The sequence below is a fragment of the Homo sapiens genome, chromosome 11 (assembly GCF_000001405.40).
Source record: "Homo sapiens chromosome 11, GRCh38.p14 Primary Assembly".
NCBI classification, from domain to species: Eukaryota; Metazoa; Chordata; class Mammalia; order Primates; family Hominidae; genus Homo; species Homo sapiens.
Genome location: NC_000011.10, coordinates 7,526,731 through 7,546,632, shown reverse-complemented (window position 1 = coordinate 7,546,632; position 19,902 = coordinate 7,526,731). Strand labels below are relative to the sequence as shown.

The 19,902-nt window shown below is 47.7% G+C and overlaps 2 protein-coding genes across 16 annotated transcripts in view, besides 2 other annotated features; one reads left to right on the top strand and one right to left on the bottom strand.

The window, feature by feature from the left end:
• Positions 1–19,902, bottom strand: part of PPFIBP2 (PPFIB scaffold protein 2) — a 153,306-nt gene that overhangs the window by 120,672 nt on the left and 12,732 nt on the right. The window contains exon 1 of one of the 15 annotated variants that reach the window (XM_011520414.3): positions 8,280–8,364. The exons of the other annotated variants lie outside the window; for them this stretch is intronic. The gene's annotated coding sequence lies outside the window, so the exon portion shown is untranslated. Of the gene's footprint in view, positions 1–8,279; positions 8,365–19,902 lie in introns of those variants that run through there. 15 annotated transcript variants of the gene reach the window in all.
• The window catches only part of LOC124902806 (leucine-rich repeat extensin-like protein 5), a 30,521-nt gene continuing 18,712 nt past the window's right edge, over positions 8,094–19,902 (top strand). The window contains exon 1 of the mRNA XM_047428005.1: positions 8,094–8,295. Coding sequence (XP_047283961.1) covers positions 8,094–8,295 — 202 coding nt within the window. The remainder of the gene's footprint in view (positions 8,296–19,902) is intronic.
• Positions 15,329–15,498: an enhancer, noted in NCBI's record as "active region_4373". NCBI's record gives its function as "activates an Ori minimal core promoter by ATAC-STARR-seq in GM12878 lymphoblastoid cells {active_cell/tissue: GM12878}" and the evidence as "EXISTENCE:reporter gene assay evidence [ECO:0000049][PMID:35858748]".
• Positions 17,693–17,742: an enhancer, noted in NCBI's record as "active region_4372". NCBI's record gives its function as "activates an Ori minimal core promoter by ATAC-STARR-seq in GM12878 lymphoblastoid cells {active_cell/tissue: GM12878}" and the evidence as "EXISTENCE:reporter gene assay evidence [ECO:0000049][PMID:35858748]".

Here is a 19,902-nt window from a genome sequence, read left to right as displayed (position 1 = left end):
ATGCAGTACAAGGGCAATGCATGAGAGGAGCCTGGGAATCACACCCACAGCATCAGGGGCCTGGATGCCAATGCCTAACAAATCAGGTGGCCTCAGATGTAAACATGACAGGGTGTCAAACCCAGAGGGCCCAGGCTATGTGCCCCCGCAACAGAAGGGCCATAAAACAAGACCCATGGGCCCTCTGCCCAGCGATGAGTTTGTACTTGGCAAACAGCAAGCTGGGTGGACCTGTGGGAGCTGGCCTGAAGTGAAACATGATTCAAGGTGTATCCTATTCACAGTGCATGACTAGCATCAGAAGCCATGACTCTTTTTGCCAGCCTATTTTCCTCTTCCTGAAAATTCAAATACAAAACAAGGAAACATTACAGAGGGTTCCACATATGCATACAAGACCACAAAACCACTTAAATCCATTATCATACAATGTGCTTTCATAAGAATCCTAGGAGCTGATGTGTAGTTTCTGACAACACAGAAGCAGCCAAATGGAAGAGATACATAGGGCAAGGGACTGAGGAGTGGGGAGGGATGCATGGAGCTTCCATAGCCTCTCCAGGGCTGCTACCCAGCAGCACTTCCACGCGTTCACCAACCTGGAAGTTCTCCAAACCCCTTCCTTCATTTAGGGTTTCTTATAGAAGTTCCATTCCATAGATATGATTAATCCAATCATGGGTCGCTCAGTCCTTGGTGATTGAACTCAAGCTTCAGCCCCACTCTCCTCCCCAAGGTAGGAGTCGGGAGGATTGGGAGTGGGGCTGAAAGTTCTAACCCTCTAATCACCAGGTTGGTTTCTCTGGTAACCAGCCCATCCTGCAGGAGTGGCCTCATTAGCATAAAGCTGAGTAAGGTTGAAAGGCGCTTATTATGAATAACAAAAGTTGCCCCTTTTCTGTGCTAGCAAACTGGAAGGAGACCAAATATATACTTTTTTTATTATAGTAGTCCCCCCTTATCCTTGGAGGACACGCTCCAAGAGCCCCAGTGAATGCCTGAAACAGTGGATGGTACCAAGCCCTATATATAGAATACGATGTTTCCTGTATCTACAGACCTCTGATGAAGTTTAATTTATAAATTAGGCACGGCACAGTAAGAGATTAACAATAATTAGTAATAACATAGAACAATTATAATACACTGTAAAAACATTATGTGAATGTGATTTTTTGTTTTGTTTTGTTTTTGTTTTTGTTTGAGACAGGGTCTCACTCTGTCACCTAGGCTAGAGTACAGTGGCATGATCTCGGCTCACTGCAACCTGCACCTTCCAGGCTCAAGCGATTCTTGTGCCTCATCCTCCTAAGCAGCTGGGATTATGGGTGTGTACCACCACGCCCAGCTAATTTTTGTATTTTGGGTAGAAGACAGGATTTCACCATGTTGGCCAGGCTGGTCTTGAACTCCTGGCCTCAAGTGATCTACCCACCTCGGCCTCCCAAAGTGCTGGGATTACAGGCGTGAGCCACCATGCCTGGCCCTGTCTCTTTCAAAATACCTTACTGGACGGTACCTTGGGTAACTGAATCCCAGGAAAGCAAAACCATGGGTAAGAGGGGGCTACTGTATATCATAGTATCACAGGTCTCAGAGGTAAACATGCTGTCTGATGACATGCAGTGCGTTCAGTGTCTTCCACATCGGTTCCTCCCACAGGGACACAGCATCTCCTAGGGAGCCAGGGCTCCTCAGGGATATGGGGCTTAAGTGCACCAAGCTCCAGAAGCAACACACCAGGGAGAAGACAGAGAGAGCCAGAACCCAAGCCAAAATCCCAAGCGACATGTGAAAAATCAGGGTGACAGCTAAGCAGATGGTGGGAAGTAGATTTTTTTTTTTTTTTTTTTTTTTTTTAGATGGAGTCTCACCCTGTTGCCCAGGCTGGAGTGCAGTGGTGCAATCTCAGCTCACTGCAACCTCCGCCTCCCGGGTTCATGCCATTCTCCTCACTCAGCCTCCCGAGTAGCTAGGACTACAGGTGCCCGCCACCACGCCTGGCTAATTTTCTGTATTTTTAGTAGAGATGGGGTTTCACCGTGTTAGCCAGGATGGTCTCGATCTCCTGACCTCGTGATCCACCCACCTTGGCCTCCCAAAGTGCTGGGAATACAGGCGTGAACCGGGATGTAGAATTTAAATCATGCTCCCCAGCAATGAGAGGAGAGCTACAGCAGCTACCCAAGGGCCTTACACAGCATGGACAACAGAGGAATCAACAATGTGCCATGGGGACTGTACGAGGGGCACCCAACCGCCCAGGAAAGAAAGAAGTGGACACAGAGAAGGATATTGCTCTTAGCACACACAATACAGAGACAGTTGTTACATGGGACCAAAGCACTTTTCATTCTCTCTGGACACTTAACATAGCTGGCATTTTGACCCTAATGAGCAGGCTGGCTTCTGATACTGAGACACTGTCTCATCCCTGGCCATAAAGATAAGGCAGGGTATGTTGTTTAAGAAAAAATGCAGTCCATCCACAATTCATCCTTCCTTCACTCACAGGCCTATGTGTGTGCTGTCATCTTCCTATCTGGGACAGCATCTGAGGCTGGGGGTCCTGCTCATTACAGGACTTAACCCTTCTCTTCGCTACCAGTGAGGGAGAAAACGATCCCACACCCCTTAGCTGTAAATGCAGCCAGTGAGGAAAAGCCATGTTTTAGAATGGCAAGGTATGATGACATGCCACAGCCACATGAACTGCACCACACAAAGGCCAGTTTGGCACCTGGAAGTTGATTAGGGAGCAAGATCTGTATGTGTTCTAAAATTTAGAAAGTGAGTCACAATTGAACCCCATCATCTGGTATGTTCTGAGGCAAACAGTGATTTATATACTGTGTTAACTCCTTTCATGTTTGGCAAAAGAAAATTTGAAGTAGGCAGCAACCACTGATGAAGGTAAGTCGGAAGCAAGTAAACCTTTGTTTACTCCACCCACGCTGAATTCCATTTCTAAGCTTCTTTTCTCTCAATAAAAATGGTTAGGTTGTAATTGATGTTTGGAGCAGGCTCACATAGCCCTGGATGCTGAAATGAACTAGGAACAGATCTGGAAGTCACTGCTATTCCCTGTGCCTCCAGGATATTCTGAGCCTTGGACACAGTTGAGCCAGAGCCAAGACCTGACTCCTTAGCAGCTGCCACTAGACAGGGGCCAGTGTCTCTGCCTGGAAATCAAGGCCTGGGGAAGGAGGCCTCAGCCAAGAACCCCACCACAACCACAGAACCTAACTCCTTTCCTACCTCTCCCTTCCCCAAGTGGCAAACAGATGATAAAGAAGTGTCACTATATTACAAGAAATTGGAGTCTTTTCCCAATAATTTACAGGCCTCCCATAAGCCATAGCTGCTCTTAAATGGTTATTTTAAGAAATACCTTTTGCTATCCCTAAGCTTAAGAGAAAGCCTCTTTAAAGGATCTAAGAAACCTCTTTGGTAGAGTGGAGCAAGAAGCCATTTGGAGCATCCAAAAATAAAAAGGACAAAGACAGATATGAAGGAATTTGATGGCAGCGCTAAATTCTCAATCACATCCCATATTAACCAACAACTACTTTCTTCCTAAAGGGCAAAGGAGAGAGAGTACAGCTTTTATATACAGACAGACTTGAGTGAAAACATGGGCTCTGCTGCATAATGGCTGTGAGTCTTTTAACCTCTTTTAGCCTCAATTGTCTCATCTGTAAAATCAGTATAAAATCAATTTCATTGTTTTGGGCAAATGTAAACAAGACAGAACTCAGGTAAACATTGCAGGCTGAACCTAAACATTTAATTTAACTGCTCATTTAACAAGAGAGACATAAACTCAAAAGGACACAAGGTCATGGCCATAAGGGAGATGCTAGGGTACAGTTCTGTAGCAAGCCTGCAAGGTCAGCCAGTTCAAAAGCTCTGGGAGAGACTTCCTCAGTCATATGAAATTGACAGAACACCTGGTGCATCTGAACATCTTAACAGACTTACATAATTGGTGAAGACTTTGTTTAATTCAATAAGAACAGATAATGACAAATGGGGGGAAAATAATAAAGCAGCAGAACAAGCATTTTTCTAGAGATACGGATAAAAATACATGACTAAAAAAATTAAGCAGCTGCATCTGAGGAAGAACAATGGGGTGGGGAGGTGAAGAGGTGGCTGTTTTAACAAATTACATACAATTATTTGAGTCTTTAAATTGTGTGGATATATAGTGGTGATTAAGATTAAAAGAAATAAAAAAGATTAAAAGAAATAATACATGTGGCATGGCAGGCACAGTGCCAAGATTAAATTAATGCGGCATCTGTCTCCTCTTTAGTTACCATATATTGGGCAGATAACTGTTAGCTATTTGCTAAGGGTTTATCCAACATTATCTCACTTAATCCCCATACCAGTTAGGAATTATTCTCCCCCTGTTACAGATGAGAAAACAGATTAGGCAATTTGCCTGAGGATGCACACCATTTTTCCTCCTGTTCTTCCACTTTCCTGAGACAGAAACCCATTTGGAGGGTTCTGAGGATAGAGTTGACATGATCTGACTTAACCTTTTAAAAGGATTACTCTGGCTGCTTCTTGGAAAATAGACTGCAGGGGACGCAGCAGTGAACACAGGAAACCCGGCAAGAGATGAAGTGACTCAGACCGTAATGAATTAGATGTTCTAATTCCTGATATACCTTGGGGACAAAGCCCATAAGATTTACTGATAAACTGGACATGGGCATGAGAGAGCAGAGTCAAGTGTGCCTACACGGTTTTTGCCCTGAGTACCTAGAGAATGTGGAGGCCTGCAGGAGCAACAATGTGGGGTGTCTGGGGGTGAAATCAGGAGATTGGTTTTAGAAATGTTCAGCTTAAGAGGCCTATAGACACCTAGGAAGTTACGCTGAGTAGCCATTTGGAAATAGGAGTCTGATGTTTACAGAGAAGTCTGGGATGGAGATGTCAATTTGGGAGGCATCTTCATAAAGATGTATTTAAGCAATTGCATGAAGTGACTTAAGAAGTGGTATAAAAACAGAGGAAGCCCCAGGACTCCCTGAAACACTCCACCATGCAGCCACCGGGGAGAAGAGGAATGGACAAAGGAGACAGGAGGAGCAGCCAGAAGTGAGAGTGGCACCCATAAGCGAACCAAAGGGTTTCTGGATAGAGGGCGCAGTCAGGTGCACCAAATGCTGCTGAATAAGACCAGAGCACTTCTCTCCAAACTCACGCTACTGGTGATCTCATCTGCTCACACAGCCTCACCTGTCCCTGTATTACCTCACCCTAGATGACTACAATAGCCTCCTAACCGGTTACCCTCCTCCGAACAGCCCTCCCCATTCACTCTGCACTGAAGATTCACCTATCTCGTGGTCCTCAAACTTTGCTGTTAATCAGAACCACCCTGAGAACTAATCAAGCAAGAGGCCCAGCCTCCTGTAAGTAGAGAGCCTGACCTTTATGGCTGATCTAGCCATTCGGGTGATTCTGATTCTGACCAAAGTTGAGGAACTGATGGAATGCAAACACAGCCCTGCACCAGGCACCCTTTTGCTTAGACAGCCTCAGGGGCTGGCCACCAGCCACACAGTAGAAATCATGGTCTATCATCATATGGACTCAACCTACTTGGTCACGGCTTTAACTTTTACCATACATACCTTTTGGCAGACCTCTGCCCCATCCTCACCAGATGCCTTATCACTAAGGCATCTGATCCTAATTGTTAGTTAATTGGCTGTCTGCACTGCTTTCCAGCTTTTATGCCCATGCCTACAGCTGTCCCTGCTAAATTCCCATCAAGCCAGCTCTTCCAGGTAATCATACTTAATTCTGACTACCTAAATGGGATCTCCCTGATCATCTTTTTTCATCCTGAAGGAAAGGAATGACAGCAGCTGTGCACAGCCATCTCCCTGAAAACTGTGCCACGTGTCTGGGTCCCTGTGGGGTCCCCCATTCTGTAAGCACTGGATAAGTGTTTACAGATTTATTGATAAAATAACCAATTCATTGTCCATGGGAAGCTAAAGCCTGGGAGATAGTGGGGACTGGAGTGAGGTTGCAGCATGTTCCCCTACAACAGCCCCAAACTCTTCCCATCCTGAGCACCCACCTCCCTCTCTATATTCTCACAATGGGTGGGACCCAAATGCTTCCCATCCCACCTTGGTGATGCCCCCATGGTCACCAAGATAAAAACCTGGGAGTCAGCCTTGGACCTTCCCTTTTGTTACCCACATCCAACTGGGCACCAGATCCGGTAAAATCTCCTCCCTCTCTTTCAGATCTGTCCCCTCATCTTCACCTGCCCTGCCGTCATCTCCCATCAGAGTGGCTGCACTGGCTTCCTAACCAGTTTCTCTGCCTCCAGCCTCACCGCCCCCCCACACCCCTCATCCTCCACACTGCTGCCAGGAGGGTGGGTCTATTTCACAAATCTTACCAAGGCTTCCCAGCATTCACAACGCTTCACCAGCTTTCTATCACTCAGGCAACAAAGGGGTGCTTGGGGACCTGGAGACGAAGTTAAGGACCCACAGAGCAGTTAGGAGAGTGGGTTCTGTAGTCAGACCTGCATGTAGATCCAAGTTCTTTCCTTCATGAGCTGTGCCCCGACAAGCTCTTTAACATTAATGAACCTCATTTTACCTATTTATAAAATTCAGGTGAAAAGAGACACATTGTGGGACTGTAGAGATTCAAAACTGGGTGGGAGTTCACAACCCCAGCAGTTTTAATTCTCCTGGCCATATCTGGCTCCTGCCCTGAGCAACAGCCAAGCTATTGTCCCCAGCTTGCTTCTGCTTTTGGGGCTTCTTCAGTGTTTTAGCTGAAGTCCTTCGTTCTACCTGCTCAACTCCCACTCCTGTTTTGAGGCCAAATTCCATCATCATTATCTCCAAGGATCCTCTCCCATCCATCCCCCAGATGGAAGTGACTACTTCTGACTGGGTCCCCCTCGCCACTCCCAGGACAGACTTCTCCAGGGCACTTTTGTCTAAGTGGTAAGGCCCTCACAGGCAGGGCCATATCTCTGACCCCGGAGCTCAGCTCCCATTCTAAAAGGGAGAAAATGAAAGGAAATAAAGAGGTCACCGGTCTACACTGGCAAGGCTCTCAGCGTAGCAGTTCAAGTTGTCCCCACCTTCTGCCCAGGGCCACAAGCTGTACCTGTCCTCCACAGGTCCTATAACATCCAGAGGTCACGACCCCCACAGGATCAGATCTGACAGTGGAGAGGAGAAGCCGCACACCTGGCCTGCGAAGACAGCTCCTCAGAGCAATGGCAGAGCCCACAGACACTGGCTTTATATCACAATGAGGGACAAGGCCATTGTGCTAAATTTCCCTCAGGACAGAGGAGCCCAACACAGCGAGATATCCTGTCAGGACAAAGAGGAGCCATAGCAGGACAGAGGGGCCAGGCTGCTGAGAACGTTGCTATCAGAGTTGCTGAATGCCTTCAGTGAATATCGGAGTCTAATAAAAGTGAAGAGGCAGAGCTTTGTTTTGTTTTGTCAATGAATAGAAGCTTAAGTAGCCTAAAAGAAGCTGAAGAGGAGAAAATAGAAGAATGCCACTGAAGGTGAACAAGCATGCTTAACTGGTCCCCATCTAATCATAGTATCAGTAACTCCTAAGAGCAAACATTTGTTCAAAGCTTTACAGCAACAAAAATATTTGGCGCATACAAGGTTCCTTGTTTCAACCTAAACATCCTAGATCAGGCTGTTCTGATTAGTCAGTTAAGCTCAGGCCAGTGGGGGCTGAGATCTATCAGAACTGCAGAAAGGGCCCTGAATCTAGACACAGGCTGGCAGTGCTGGGTGGTGGCAGGGGATGAATGCAATATTTCTTGCTTAGCGTCTTTTTCCCGCTATACCAGGTTAGTGAGTTTTATGCACCGGGTATTCCCAGCCACTCCCTGTCAGGCGAGGTCCAGGATATCCTTAAGAACATTTGTGCTGGAGCCTAGTTCTGCTGAACCCACTGGAAGGATTCCTTTTGCTTTCTGGTCCTTCCACTGAAGACACAGCCCAAGTCCTGTCACATGTCCCTGCTCCACCACCAGCCTCCTTTGGCAGAGCCAAGCCCAGATGCTTCCACTTAAGCATTCCCAAAAAGCTCGAGCCCTTCTCACCAAACCACAGCCCTTTAAGCAAGGCTCCATGACCCCAAACAGCATTTCCAGCAACATATCACAACAGCAGGGCATTCAGTCAGAAAGCTGCACACTGTCCTCTAAAGAAGGCAAAGAGCAGCAACAGGCACTGAGACCTCACCTCCGGGTGCCCCGAAGTCAGACTCCCTCTGAGCCTAGCTGTCCCACAGTCTCAGCAGCGACATCCTCCTCCTACTGGAAATGGCAAGCTTTTTAAGAGAAACACCACCCCAAAGACATGAGAATGAGACACCACGAGCCCAGCCCACAAGGAGGAGCGCAGGGTCTGGCCAGGAAACGGGTGTGAGTCTGAGGTTCTGATGGCTCACACCCAAAAGCACATCTGACCTTCTGGGCTTCAGGAACACTAAGAAGCTGATGTCAAGTTTCCTTCACCGTATTTGCTTGATGTTGTTGAATGCTCGCTTCACCCTCCTCTGACTCTTCTCACCTATTTCTGCTCTCGATATTCTGCCTTTGTTCCCCTCTCTCTCCAAGCTGATCCTTTTCCCAACTCAAGCACTGATTAGGGTAAACCAGCCACAACCAAGGCCATGCCTTAATGCCAGGTCTGTCAGAGAATGGTTTGGGGAGATGCCAAAGGTCAAACAGTGCAGGTACTCCAACAAGGAGAGGGATTGGGGAGTGGGGAGCGGGGAGGGCAGGGAAGCGAGGCAGGGATCTGTGCCTTTGGGAAGAATTGAGATGGGGAGCCAGACAGCATCCAGGGAGCAGAGCATCACCAAACCCCATCAGTGTGCCCTTCAATACTGTAAGACAAGTATATCAGTGCCCTCATGGGGATAGGGCCCACCGTAGCCACTTAGAGAACTTTCGGAGAGGAGGCTCTTTCCCTTCCTTCTGAACCGCTCAGAAAGAGTGGGTCTAAGAAGTAAACGTAAATGAGAGTCTATCTTTCAAGGCTAAGATGTGAAGAGCCAGGACTAGGCAACAGATAACTCACACGTTCTAAGATTTGGCTGCCTGCCCTGGCCACACAGCCATTCACAATAGATCAAGATGATGGTGAATTATTTCGAGCCTGTGCAATATCCACCTGTGTGTAAAAACCACCTGCTCTGGGAGTTCACAGGTTTCCTGTCTCCTTTGAGAAGCTGCTGCCTCTGTGGGGGGGAAAAAAAGTGTCCTCATTTTTGTTTTCTCATTTAATCTTCAAGGGGGTCCTGTGAGGGATATAGTACAATTATCAGCCCTGTTTTACAAAGATGTAGCTCAGTGGCCAGAGAGCAGGGGAATAGTGACAGCGAATGAAGCTGCCCCAGCTTGAGAAGGGTCTCTCACCTGTCACCCCTAGAACATGGCCTGTAGCCATTAGGCAATGACAACCACTGAGGGAGCCACCTAGAAGCCACCCACTCTTCCCAGCAATAACGTAGGAGGAGGAGGCGGGGACCTGAAGGAAGGATCCTTCTCAAGGAGCTCAAGGATCTCTCTGGATTCCCCTCCCCAAGTATAACCATGGTCTGCCAGCCTGTCCCTTCTACCTGCCCACTTCAGGTCCCCACCTATTCCCTCCCTTCCCACACTTCCTTGACTCCATTTCCTCTTTCACCATAGCCCTATTCTGGACAACGTGGAGGCTCTCTCCCTGGCTCTGTTCATCAGAGTGTAGAGTCCTCACCTCTCTCCAGCTTGAACGTGCTCCTCAGCTCATTCTACCTCTCTGGTCACAACTTACGCTCACTCTCCCTCTGCCTGGGGAACCAGGTTCACATGTCTCTTCTTCCTTCTGCTCCCGGGATGCTACACAACACATACGGCTCCATCAGACATTCATGCGCCTGGGATCTCTAATCTCATGTTTCTTCGTGTCAGACTCCCTCTGCAAACTACCATGCATCTTTCTTTAATGAGAAACAAAACCACTTGATTCCCCTTCTCTCATCTCTTACCCTCTCTTCACATGCTGTCTAAGAGTTGCCCCTCCTCCCTGTGACCCCTAATCTTCGATCATCACTGAGATCCAACCTCTCAATTATTCCCCCTCCAAACTGAATCTGCACTCTCTCCCTCTTCTGCTCCTTCCTCTGCTATTCTAGAACATGTCCTTTGACCCTGCACCCTACTGTTATTATTCCATGTTTCCCCTTTGCCTCAGAGCCCCACTGCCTACCTCCCGTGCTCTCTGACACCCCCAGTGGTGGGACGTCACTCATCCGTGTGCACCCGTGCCATGCTCTCATCCAGCCAGCCGCTTGTGTTCCCATTTCCTTAAGAGGCGGTCTAGGGTGGGGTTAAAAGCCCAGGCTGGGGTTGGACTGCCTCGGTGACAGCCCTGATTCAGAAACTATATGTCCCAGGGCAAGACACTTAACCTCTGTGCCTCGGGTTTCTCATCTTTAAGATGAGGATAATAATAAAACTGCCTACCTGAAAGGGTGGTTGTGAAGGTTAAATGTTAACAGAGTAAAGCGCTTAGACTCGCCATCAGTCAGCGTTTGCTCTAGTGCCTTCTTTGGCATCTCATCAGTGGTGACACTCTCCTCCTCTGGCATTTGGGAGAAGCGCTCTCCGGGTCCCTCATTGAACTATGCAGCCTGCATTCACCTGTCATGCTTCCCCACCCTACTCCCCTCCCGTGTGAGCCACCAGGTCTCTGTGGTCTCCCCTTGCAGGGATGCTCTTCTCCATCTCATCCTTTCCACTCCTACTGCCCAGACTGTGTTCAGGTATTCAGAACCAGGGCACTGGAGAACCTCCTCTCACCTGAGTAACACCTGGCCTCTCCCACAGCAGTCTGAACGCATGAGCTGGCATCCAAATTGGAGCCGGCCCGAAAATGTCCTGTTCTCATGATGGTAGTTATAATGGCTGCCATTTATTAAACACTCACTTCTACACTGAGCTAAGTTCTTATGTTTATCTCATATCTCAATATTTATAACTATTATTATCCCGATTCTACAGATAAGGAAACTGAAGCTTGGAGAGGTTAAGTGACTTGGTCAAATCACACATCCAGGAAGCAGTAAAGATAAGATTTGAATTCAGGCAGTCCAACTCCAAGGTTATGTTCCTAACCACTACGCTGGACGCACTTCCTCACTGAGCCTGACCTGCTCCTGGGTTCCTGATACCCCAGCCGCAAGAGAGCATCCTTATGCCACTGTGCCTTTGTCATGCTGTTTCCTCAACTAAAGGCCCCTTCCCCAATCTCTGTCCATCAAAACTAATTTTTCAATGCTCAGGCAAGTTTTCTCTATGACAGCATCCCCACCCCTGCCTGTTGAAATGAATCTTGGCTGAGACATGGGCTCCCACCTCCATTTAGTTTCTGCTTCATGTTGTCATGGGCAAGACCCAATGGGAGGATACTAACTTCCTCTCTTTCCAGGATTTCCTCCCCTGGGAAACAGCTCAGTATCTGATGGTGGAAATGAAAGAAGGAACTGAGCATGTGCAGCTCAGCCCATCCTCCCCTCTCCCTAGAGCCACCTTGGCAAAGGAAGTGGCCTGCACCAGAAAGAGCCTATGAGGTCCCATCAGGGCCTGTAGTGATGCACCTGCAATGCACATGGTGCCTTCTATTTGAGAGCATGGCTCCCCAGCAACCTGCGGATGATGCTGTAATTCATTTTGCCAGGTGGGGTAAGGCCAGGAAGGCGGTCTGGGAAAGCAGGCATTTGCGTTGTGGCCACTGCACAATGCCTGCCAGAGTAAATTAAATTGGTGTCTGGCTTATGGACCAGCCTTGTCAGGTTGGTCAGTGTGAATTAAGCTCTGGGCAACAAGCCCCTCCCAGTGAATGGATAAGGGTGTCTGACCTGTGGTAGTCCTTACCTCCATTCTCTCCCCTGTCCACACCACACCTGCCCCCACAGCAGACAGAGAGCCTCATGCCCCTGACAGGACCCGGTTGGCAATGTGCCTCCTCAGCCCCAGAACTTACCCTTCAAGGGAAGCTACCCTCATTTTCCTTCTTACAGCAAAGAACACACATGCATACACACAATTTACCTCCAGGGAGGAACAAATGGACGTGAAATTATTTCATTGCCTCAACCAGATCATAAACAGATTCAGAGAAATGCTTCAAATGCAACCTCAAAGTGAATATTTCCAAAAAGCTTCATCTCAAAAATTGCCCCCCTAAAAAATAATACAAGCAAGAGGTTAAGCTAAATGATGGGTAAGAGGATGCATTTTACTATTTCTATTTCTGTGTACATTTGAATTCTTTTTATAGTAACAGGCTAACACAAAAAACCAAACCACCACCTGGGGATGTGGACTTTTCAGGGCAGGGGGCAGAGAATTCTACTTTCCCTTCCAGCAGAACTGAGATTTGAACCTAAGTTCCTGATGACTCATTTGGTGCTCTTTCTACAGTGCCATTCAAACTCCCTGAATAGGTCCTAACATTCCACCAAACTCTCCTTACCTCTCACCTCACCACAGTTTAGAACCTCATCATCTCTCAGCCAGATTGCAAAAGCTGCTTCCTCTGGGCTTTCTACCTCTAGCCAACTTCCCTGCAATCTGTCTTTCTTTCCCTGTGCAGGCAAGACATGTTCCATGGAGCTCATGACATGCTCCTCTGCTCTCAAACATTCCTCGGCTTCACAGTGCTTTCAGGAGAGAAGCTGCATTTTGCAGCTCTGCCAAAGTCCTCTAATACAGTTAACCTTCCCCGCTATAGTCCTCACCACTCTGAGTTCCAGCTTCACTGGACCACGTCCTACCCTCGCATACAGAAATACCCCATTTTCTGTACTTCCTCTACGTGGGTGCTTTTCTCCATCTCTACTTTCAAATCCCACCCATGCTAAGGCCTTATCCAAATGACCACTGCCAGAAAACCTTTCCTAACACCATTACCCCTCATCCCTGAAGGTGCTGGATGCCTCAGCTCTGCTCCTGTCATATCTGGTACACACCTTTATCGTCAGAGCTGTCTATATTATTTATGAAGATGATAATAATTTGTATTATTTCTCAATGTGTCTGCCTCCCTGTCTAGATTAACTGCTAGAGAGCAAGGAGTATGCTCCATTCACCTTTCTATCCTCAGAGCCCAGCAAAGAACCTGGCACAGGACCTTCAGTAAATGTTTGTTGACACAAAATGTTAAGTGTTTGTGTACCTGAGTGGAAAGTGAAGGGAGGCTGGGCATGTAACCTTGGCCAGCACTCTGAAAGAAGGATTGGGGGCTATCCATGACAGCCTCTCTCATCGAACTTTCTCCACACCTGGGGTCCCTTCTCTCTTACAGCCAGATATTCAGAGGTGAAAGCGTCTCTACCATAAGGGGAACTTACGCTTGGGCCTGGCATGAGTGAGAGACATAACTGATGGATGCAATTGTATTCCTGAAGGACCAATGAGAAAAAAGGATGTCACTTCCCCTAATAGATAATAAAACCAGGCACTTCTCCCTATTCCATTATTTTAGAATGCTAAGCAACAACAACAAAAAAAAACAGATATGAATTGGTAAGTTTTCTCTATTAGCTGGAGCGTGCGTAACTTTTGCCTATAGCCAACTCCCTCCTACGAGCCTCCCTGGCTGCCTGCTGAGGAATAGGCCCCAGAATTTGGCAGGCTGGAGGTAAACACTAATTGAATTAATCAAAATGTATTCTGTAATTTGAGCCTTCATTTCAACATTTGTTGAACAGTTTAATTTTGATTCAATGCAATGCTTTTCCCCTTGCAATAAAAAAAGTTAAGTCAGTAGAAGACCAAAGAATTTCTTTAAAGACAGGCCTGTGTGCACTGTCAACAACAGCCTGGCCTCTGCCTCCATCAGAGGAGAAGGAGGCTTCCCCCGAAGGCCTGGGCTGGAGGGTATTAGCAGCTCTGTGTTCACTGGAGTTCCGAGGGCCACACGGGAGCCAGATGAAGACACTGCACAGAAACTACTGCTGCCAGAGAGCCTGACTACAAGTAAACAGCTCGGCCTGGAGCTGAGCCTTTGGACGAGGCCAGTCAGGCTTCCTCCACTAGCTAGCTGGGTCCACCATCCTCTCCTGGTCCCAAGGTTGGCAGGATCAGTAGTAAGTGCCTCTCCATGCTTCACCATGACACTGAGCCTTGTTCAATGAGGATTTTGGAAACACCCTGTTATGAGCTGAATTGTACCCACACCCTCAAAATTCTTATGTTGAAGTCCTAACCCCCAGTACCTCAGAATGTGACTATATTTGGAAATAAGGTCTTGAAAGAGGTAATTACATTCCAATGAGATAATTAGGGTGGGCCCTAATCCAATAGGTGGTGTACTTAAAAGCAGAGCAGATTAGGACACATGGGTACAGAGGAAAGACCATGTGAAGACAAAGGGAGAAGACAGCCATCTAAAAGTCAAGGAGAGGCTGGGCATGGTGGCTAATGCCTATAATCCCAGCACTTTGGGAGGCCGAGGTGAGTGGATCACTTGAGGCCAAGAGTTCAAGACCAGCCTGGACAACATGGTGAAACCCCATCTCTACTAAAAACACACACACAAAAACTAGCCAAGTGTGGTAGTACATGCCTATAATCCCAGCTCCTCAGGAGGTTGAAGCAGGAGATTCACTTGAACCCAGGAGGTGGAGGATGCTGTGAGCCAAGATCGTGCCACTGCGCTCCAGCATGGGCAACACAGTGAGACTCCATCTCCAAAAAGAAAAAAAAAATTAATAAAAAATAAATAAAAGTCAAGGAGAGGCCCCAAAAGAAACCAACCCTGCCAACACCCTGATCTTAGAGTTCTGGCCTCCATAATTGTGAGAAAATAAATTTCTGTTGTGTAAGCCCCCCAGTACTTTGTTATGGCAGCCCAAGCAAACTAACACACACCCCCATTTGATCCTACACACGCAGCTGGGAAAGTTATGGGAAGAAGGCAGCCTCCTCTCCAGGGCTGTCGGCCTCTATCCTGACCCACTGGTGTTCCCCTTCCCTCTTAATCCAGGAGAGACTTTCTTCACATCCTCAGACCTTAAACCACATCAAGGTAAGCACAGTTCCCAATATTCCTTTATCTGTATTCTTTGTAAGTCAGCTCTAAGTCGAATCCCACCTCTGGACCGAGACCATTTAGTGAGGCCAGATTTTAGGATGCTACAAAGAGGAAACCCTAAGATCCTGCAGCCTGACCAGATGTCAAGCTGCATTCAAGGGCCAAGAGCCCTGGGCCCAGCTATCTTCAACTCAGTTCAAAAGCTCCAGCATGTGGGGAGGCAGGGGAAGGGTTGGTCCCTAACCTTGGCTTGCCAGTCACAAGATATTTGCCACTTGGATCACTTCCCTCCCCTAAGAGTTCAGAGGCCAGAAAGTGGTTTAGGGACTTTCCCAAGAAAAGTGATCTAGGAATCCCCCACTTGCACAAGTGTTCCTGCAGGCCAAAGACAGGCCTGCTGGAGAATGACACTGTACTAGGTAGCCCCTTCCCTGCAGGCCCAAGTGGTTTTGCTCCTGGAAGTTTGTTAGCTGGACTCCAGGGGAGTGGGAAGGTCTAATGATCTCCTGGGACCTCTCTCCCATCTTTCTCAGCTCTTCCTTTCCATAAAGCAGAGTCTTTATTCCCCTATAGAAGATACCCAAACAGTTCCTCAGAATCAAAGGAAAAAGTGAAAATTACAGAGGTCTATGTGACTCCAAATGGCCACAGAAGGGGTAGTATAGACGCTGGGTCCCCATACCCCCAGCCTCAAGCCTTCTGAGGCTCCTTTCTTCCCAAGTGAGGTGCTTCTTCCCCTGAAGAAAGAGAGGAGCAGCATGCAGCAGAAAGAGCCCAAGCTTTGTCTTAGTCTGTCCAGGCTGTTTTAACAAAATTACCATAAATTGGGAAGGTAGCTCACAAACAATGGAAATGTATTTCTCACAGCTATGGAGGCTGGGAAGCCCAGGATCAAGGCACCAGCAGAGTCAGTGTCTGGAGCAGGATTGCTTCTTGGTTCACAGATGGTGCCTTCCAGCTATGTCCTCACATGGTGGAAGAAACCAGCTAGTTCTCTGGGGCCTCTTTATAAAGGAACCAATCTCAAGCATGAGGGCTCCACTCTCATGACCTAATCACCTCCCAAGGCCCCACCTCCTAATACCATCACTTTGGGGATTATATTGCAACATATGAATTTTTAGGAGACATAAACATTCAGACCATAGCAAAGTCAGACAGATTTGGGCTTAAATCCTTGCTCCACTACTTATGAGCTGGATTCGTTTTTTGCCTTGGGTAATATGGACATTAACCTCTCAGGTTACTATGTAATGGATATAATATCTGCCTTACACAGGGTTAGTCAGAGGGTTAAGAAAGAGGACAGAATAAACTACCCACCTCAGTGCCTGGCCCAGTAAGTATGTAACACTCTGCCTCTCCACATCAGAGAACATGTTCCCAACTGTACTATTCCAGAAGATGGATTTGGCCAAGACCCTTCATCAGGGCCTAAATGTTGGGATCAGGGTTAAAAAAACAACAACCATGATGTTGAGTTCCTTTGAGAAGTTGCCAAATCTCTTGCAGGTAGCCCCCAAAGTGGCAGACCCTGGGATACAGCAGCTCAAACAGCACACATGCTCCAGGTTTTCTGCGTCTCTCTAGCAGTACCTGACAAAACAGGGCAAGGTTAGGGCCACAGGGCCTTCCAGAGCTGAAGGTTTCCTAGGGATCACACGGCCACTCTTACAGCCCCTCGGTTCCTTCCTCAGCCATTCCACGAGGGTCACAAGGTGACCTGCTTAGGAACAGTGAACAGGCCGAGTTATGAGGCTCAGGGGCCATCCCAGGGGCAGGTACCTGACAGAGAAGACACCGCTGGGGAAATGGATTTTGGGAGGCCTCAAACATGGAGGCTAAAGCTGAACTGGGCTCTGTAGGGTTAGGGAGGGGAAGGGCCAAGTCTTGACCACGTTCATGGCTGGCTGGCTTTGTCCTCGGTGCAGCAGTCCCTGGCTCCATGCACTGGCATCAAGAGAGCCCATAATAACTCTAGAGATGGCCTTGAGAGAAGATGGCTGAGCCGTACTGGTATCTGAGAAAGGCCTCCCGGTTATTCTCAGTGGACACCACACTCTTTGGGGACACCGATAGCCAGACAGGCAATCACTCCAGGAATTACTGAGGGAAGGTTTCCATATACGATGTGTAACAGTGATGTAATGAGATGCATTTTTCATGGAGCCGATAAGATCTGTCTCATTAACTCCATTTCCCATTCAGCTGTCACTTGGCTTATCTAAAATTCTCTTTTAAATATAAATCATAACATTTGAGGACTGGATTTGTGACCCTGGAAGAGCCTTTAACGGGTTCTCACAGTGTACCTTATTAAGTGGTAGGACAAGGAGGTAGAGCTTCCTCCCACATTGTCTCCTGTTAACATGAAATCCTGCGTCACTGCAGCCCAGATGCTCCCCCAACTTCTTCCTCTGAATATTTCCTCTGTCTTCTCAGTGGTTACTATTGCCTCGCAGGTGGTCTCAACTTTTCTCTCCAGGCTGAGGAAAAGCCTCCCATTAGGAAGTCTGAAGGACCCTGGGTCCACCCTGAGGACAGAAGCAAGGCGTGGCCACCAGGGCTAGATCTGAGTTCTGAGCTCCAGGAGGAAGGCCAAACTGGATGGAGAACTGGGCCCTGGGCAGACCTGCTCAGCAACAAAGACTGGCTGACTGTACTAGATATACGCATAAGAACCCCAACTTGAGCAGGCAGTCCTCACCAACACCCACCTGCTCAGAGCTTGAACATGTGATCTGTGAAAACAATGTTGTCCTTTCATGCAGGTATCCCAGCACCCACTCTACACCCCTGCATGGGCAGGCTCTCAGCAAATGCTTACTGAACTGTATCGGTCCCTCCTCTCAACCCCTACAGCCCCACCTGGGTTACTGCCCACATTTCTCTGACTCTTACCCTCATCCCACGCTTCCAAACCTCTTGGAGTACCACTCTTGCTAAACATCTCTTAGGGCTGACACCTTGGTATCCTAAACAGGTAAGGTTGGTTGTAGGTAACTTGTTACTAATGATAGAAGCTTTTTGTATAAATTAGAGAAGATTCAGGCTTATCTTGCCCCATTCTAATATACTTTATTGAAGGGATGAGAAAATACTGGAATTCAGCCAGCAATTCAGAAATTGCCTATAGTGGTCTGGGAGTAACAGTTTCTATTGTAATGTGAAAACTGCATTTAGGAAGTTAGAGATTAACTTCCTAAATATATATGTGTATGCATGCATATATATGTATTAGAACTCAGATATGCTTTGTGACTATCTGGCCATGTCCACTAAGTGCCTCTCAAAGGTTAATGTGGTTTGCCATGTGCCATCTGACCATCTTCCTGCCTAAATACGGTAAGAACAGGTCTTCACTGTAAATTTAAGACTGCATAATCTGGACTCTAAACATAGTGGCAAGATTAAGTGGAAAGAACAGAGTTTGGGGTCAGGCAGCCTGGACATCAATTTTATTTTGGCCACTCACCACCTAGGGAAACTTGAGATGATCAGGTATCTTCTTGAAGCCCATTTCCTCCTCAGTTAAAGCCCTGAAAGGCTGCTTTGAAATTTAAGTGAGCACAGACTCTGTGCTCAATGCCTGATGCATGATGGGTACTTCATAGACGGTAATTTCCAATCCCTGGTGCCCTATTTAACTTCGTTTACTCTTCAGTTCCAGCCAAATCATGCCGCCAGTTGTTTTCCACAGGTGCCCCTTAATTGGCATTACTCATGCCTTCCTTTGTGCACTGCTGTTCCCTCTGCCAGCAATTCCCTTCAGCCCCATAGAAACGGGCAACTCTGGTCCCTGTCTTTCCTTCAGGACACACCTCAAATGCCACCTCCTCAGCAAGCCAGGCCCCCCCAACATCTTTCTCTGAATATTAACTGTATTTTCTCAGCAGTTACTACTATCTGTTTGAGTAAGGGGGTACATTTCTTAAGTTCCATTCAGTCAGGGGACATGTCTGTTCATCTTGTGGTCCCATCATCACCATTCTCAGCATAGACAATGGTTCAAAAATTATTTAGAGGCTGAAATAATAAATACTGTCACAATCCTACTGATTCCACAGTACCTGAGAAGTATGCTCTACCTCTGCTGCTAAAGGGTAGGTTTCCCCAGATCCAATGGGCCAGTTCTGACCTTGGGGTTCCATGGCCACTCTTCCTACCATTCTTGCCAGACTCCTTCCCTGCCACCCAGACCAAGATATCACACTGCTCAGACATCCACGTTGCCTAACCACAGCAACTCTCTCCTCCCATACACCACACCCCACCCAAAACCTCAGCCTACTTGAATGAGGCCCTGGTACCCACATCCCTTCCTTGCCTCCCCTCCCAGGGATGGAACCTTGCTCACTCTATGGCCCAAGGTGCAGACAGTCAGACTTCCTAGGGTATGGTAGGTATAGAAGGGAGTGATCCAGGAGGACATTCTTGTGACCAGTGTCCTCCTGGATCACTCCCTTCTATACCTGCTATGCCCTCTAGGATGCTGTGAACCCAGCTGTCTCACACCACATACCCTGGTTCTCCAGGTCTCAGGATGGTGTGTTCTCAAAATCTTCAAGGGGTGGCAAGTGAGTCTAAAACAGCTTTCAGATGGTTGGGCCAAGGTAGGCATCAGCAAAGAATATACACAGTCCAGTCACTTCTTGGGATCATAGTCTCATTTTCAGCCCACAAAGACATTTGCTCAGAGCCTTTCCCCTCTCCCAGCCCTTGTCACTAAGTGGGATGTTCAGCCTGCGACTTGGGATAGAGAAGCTTCCGCATAGTCACG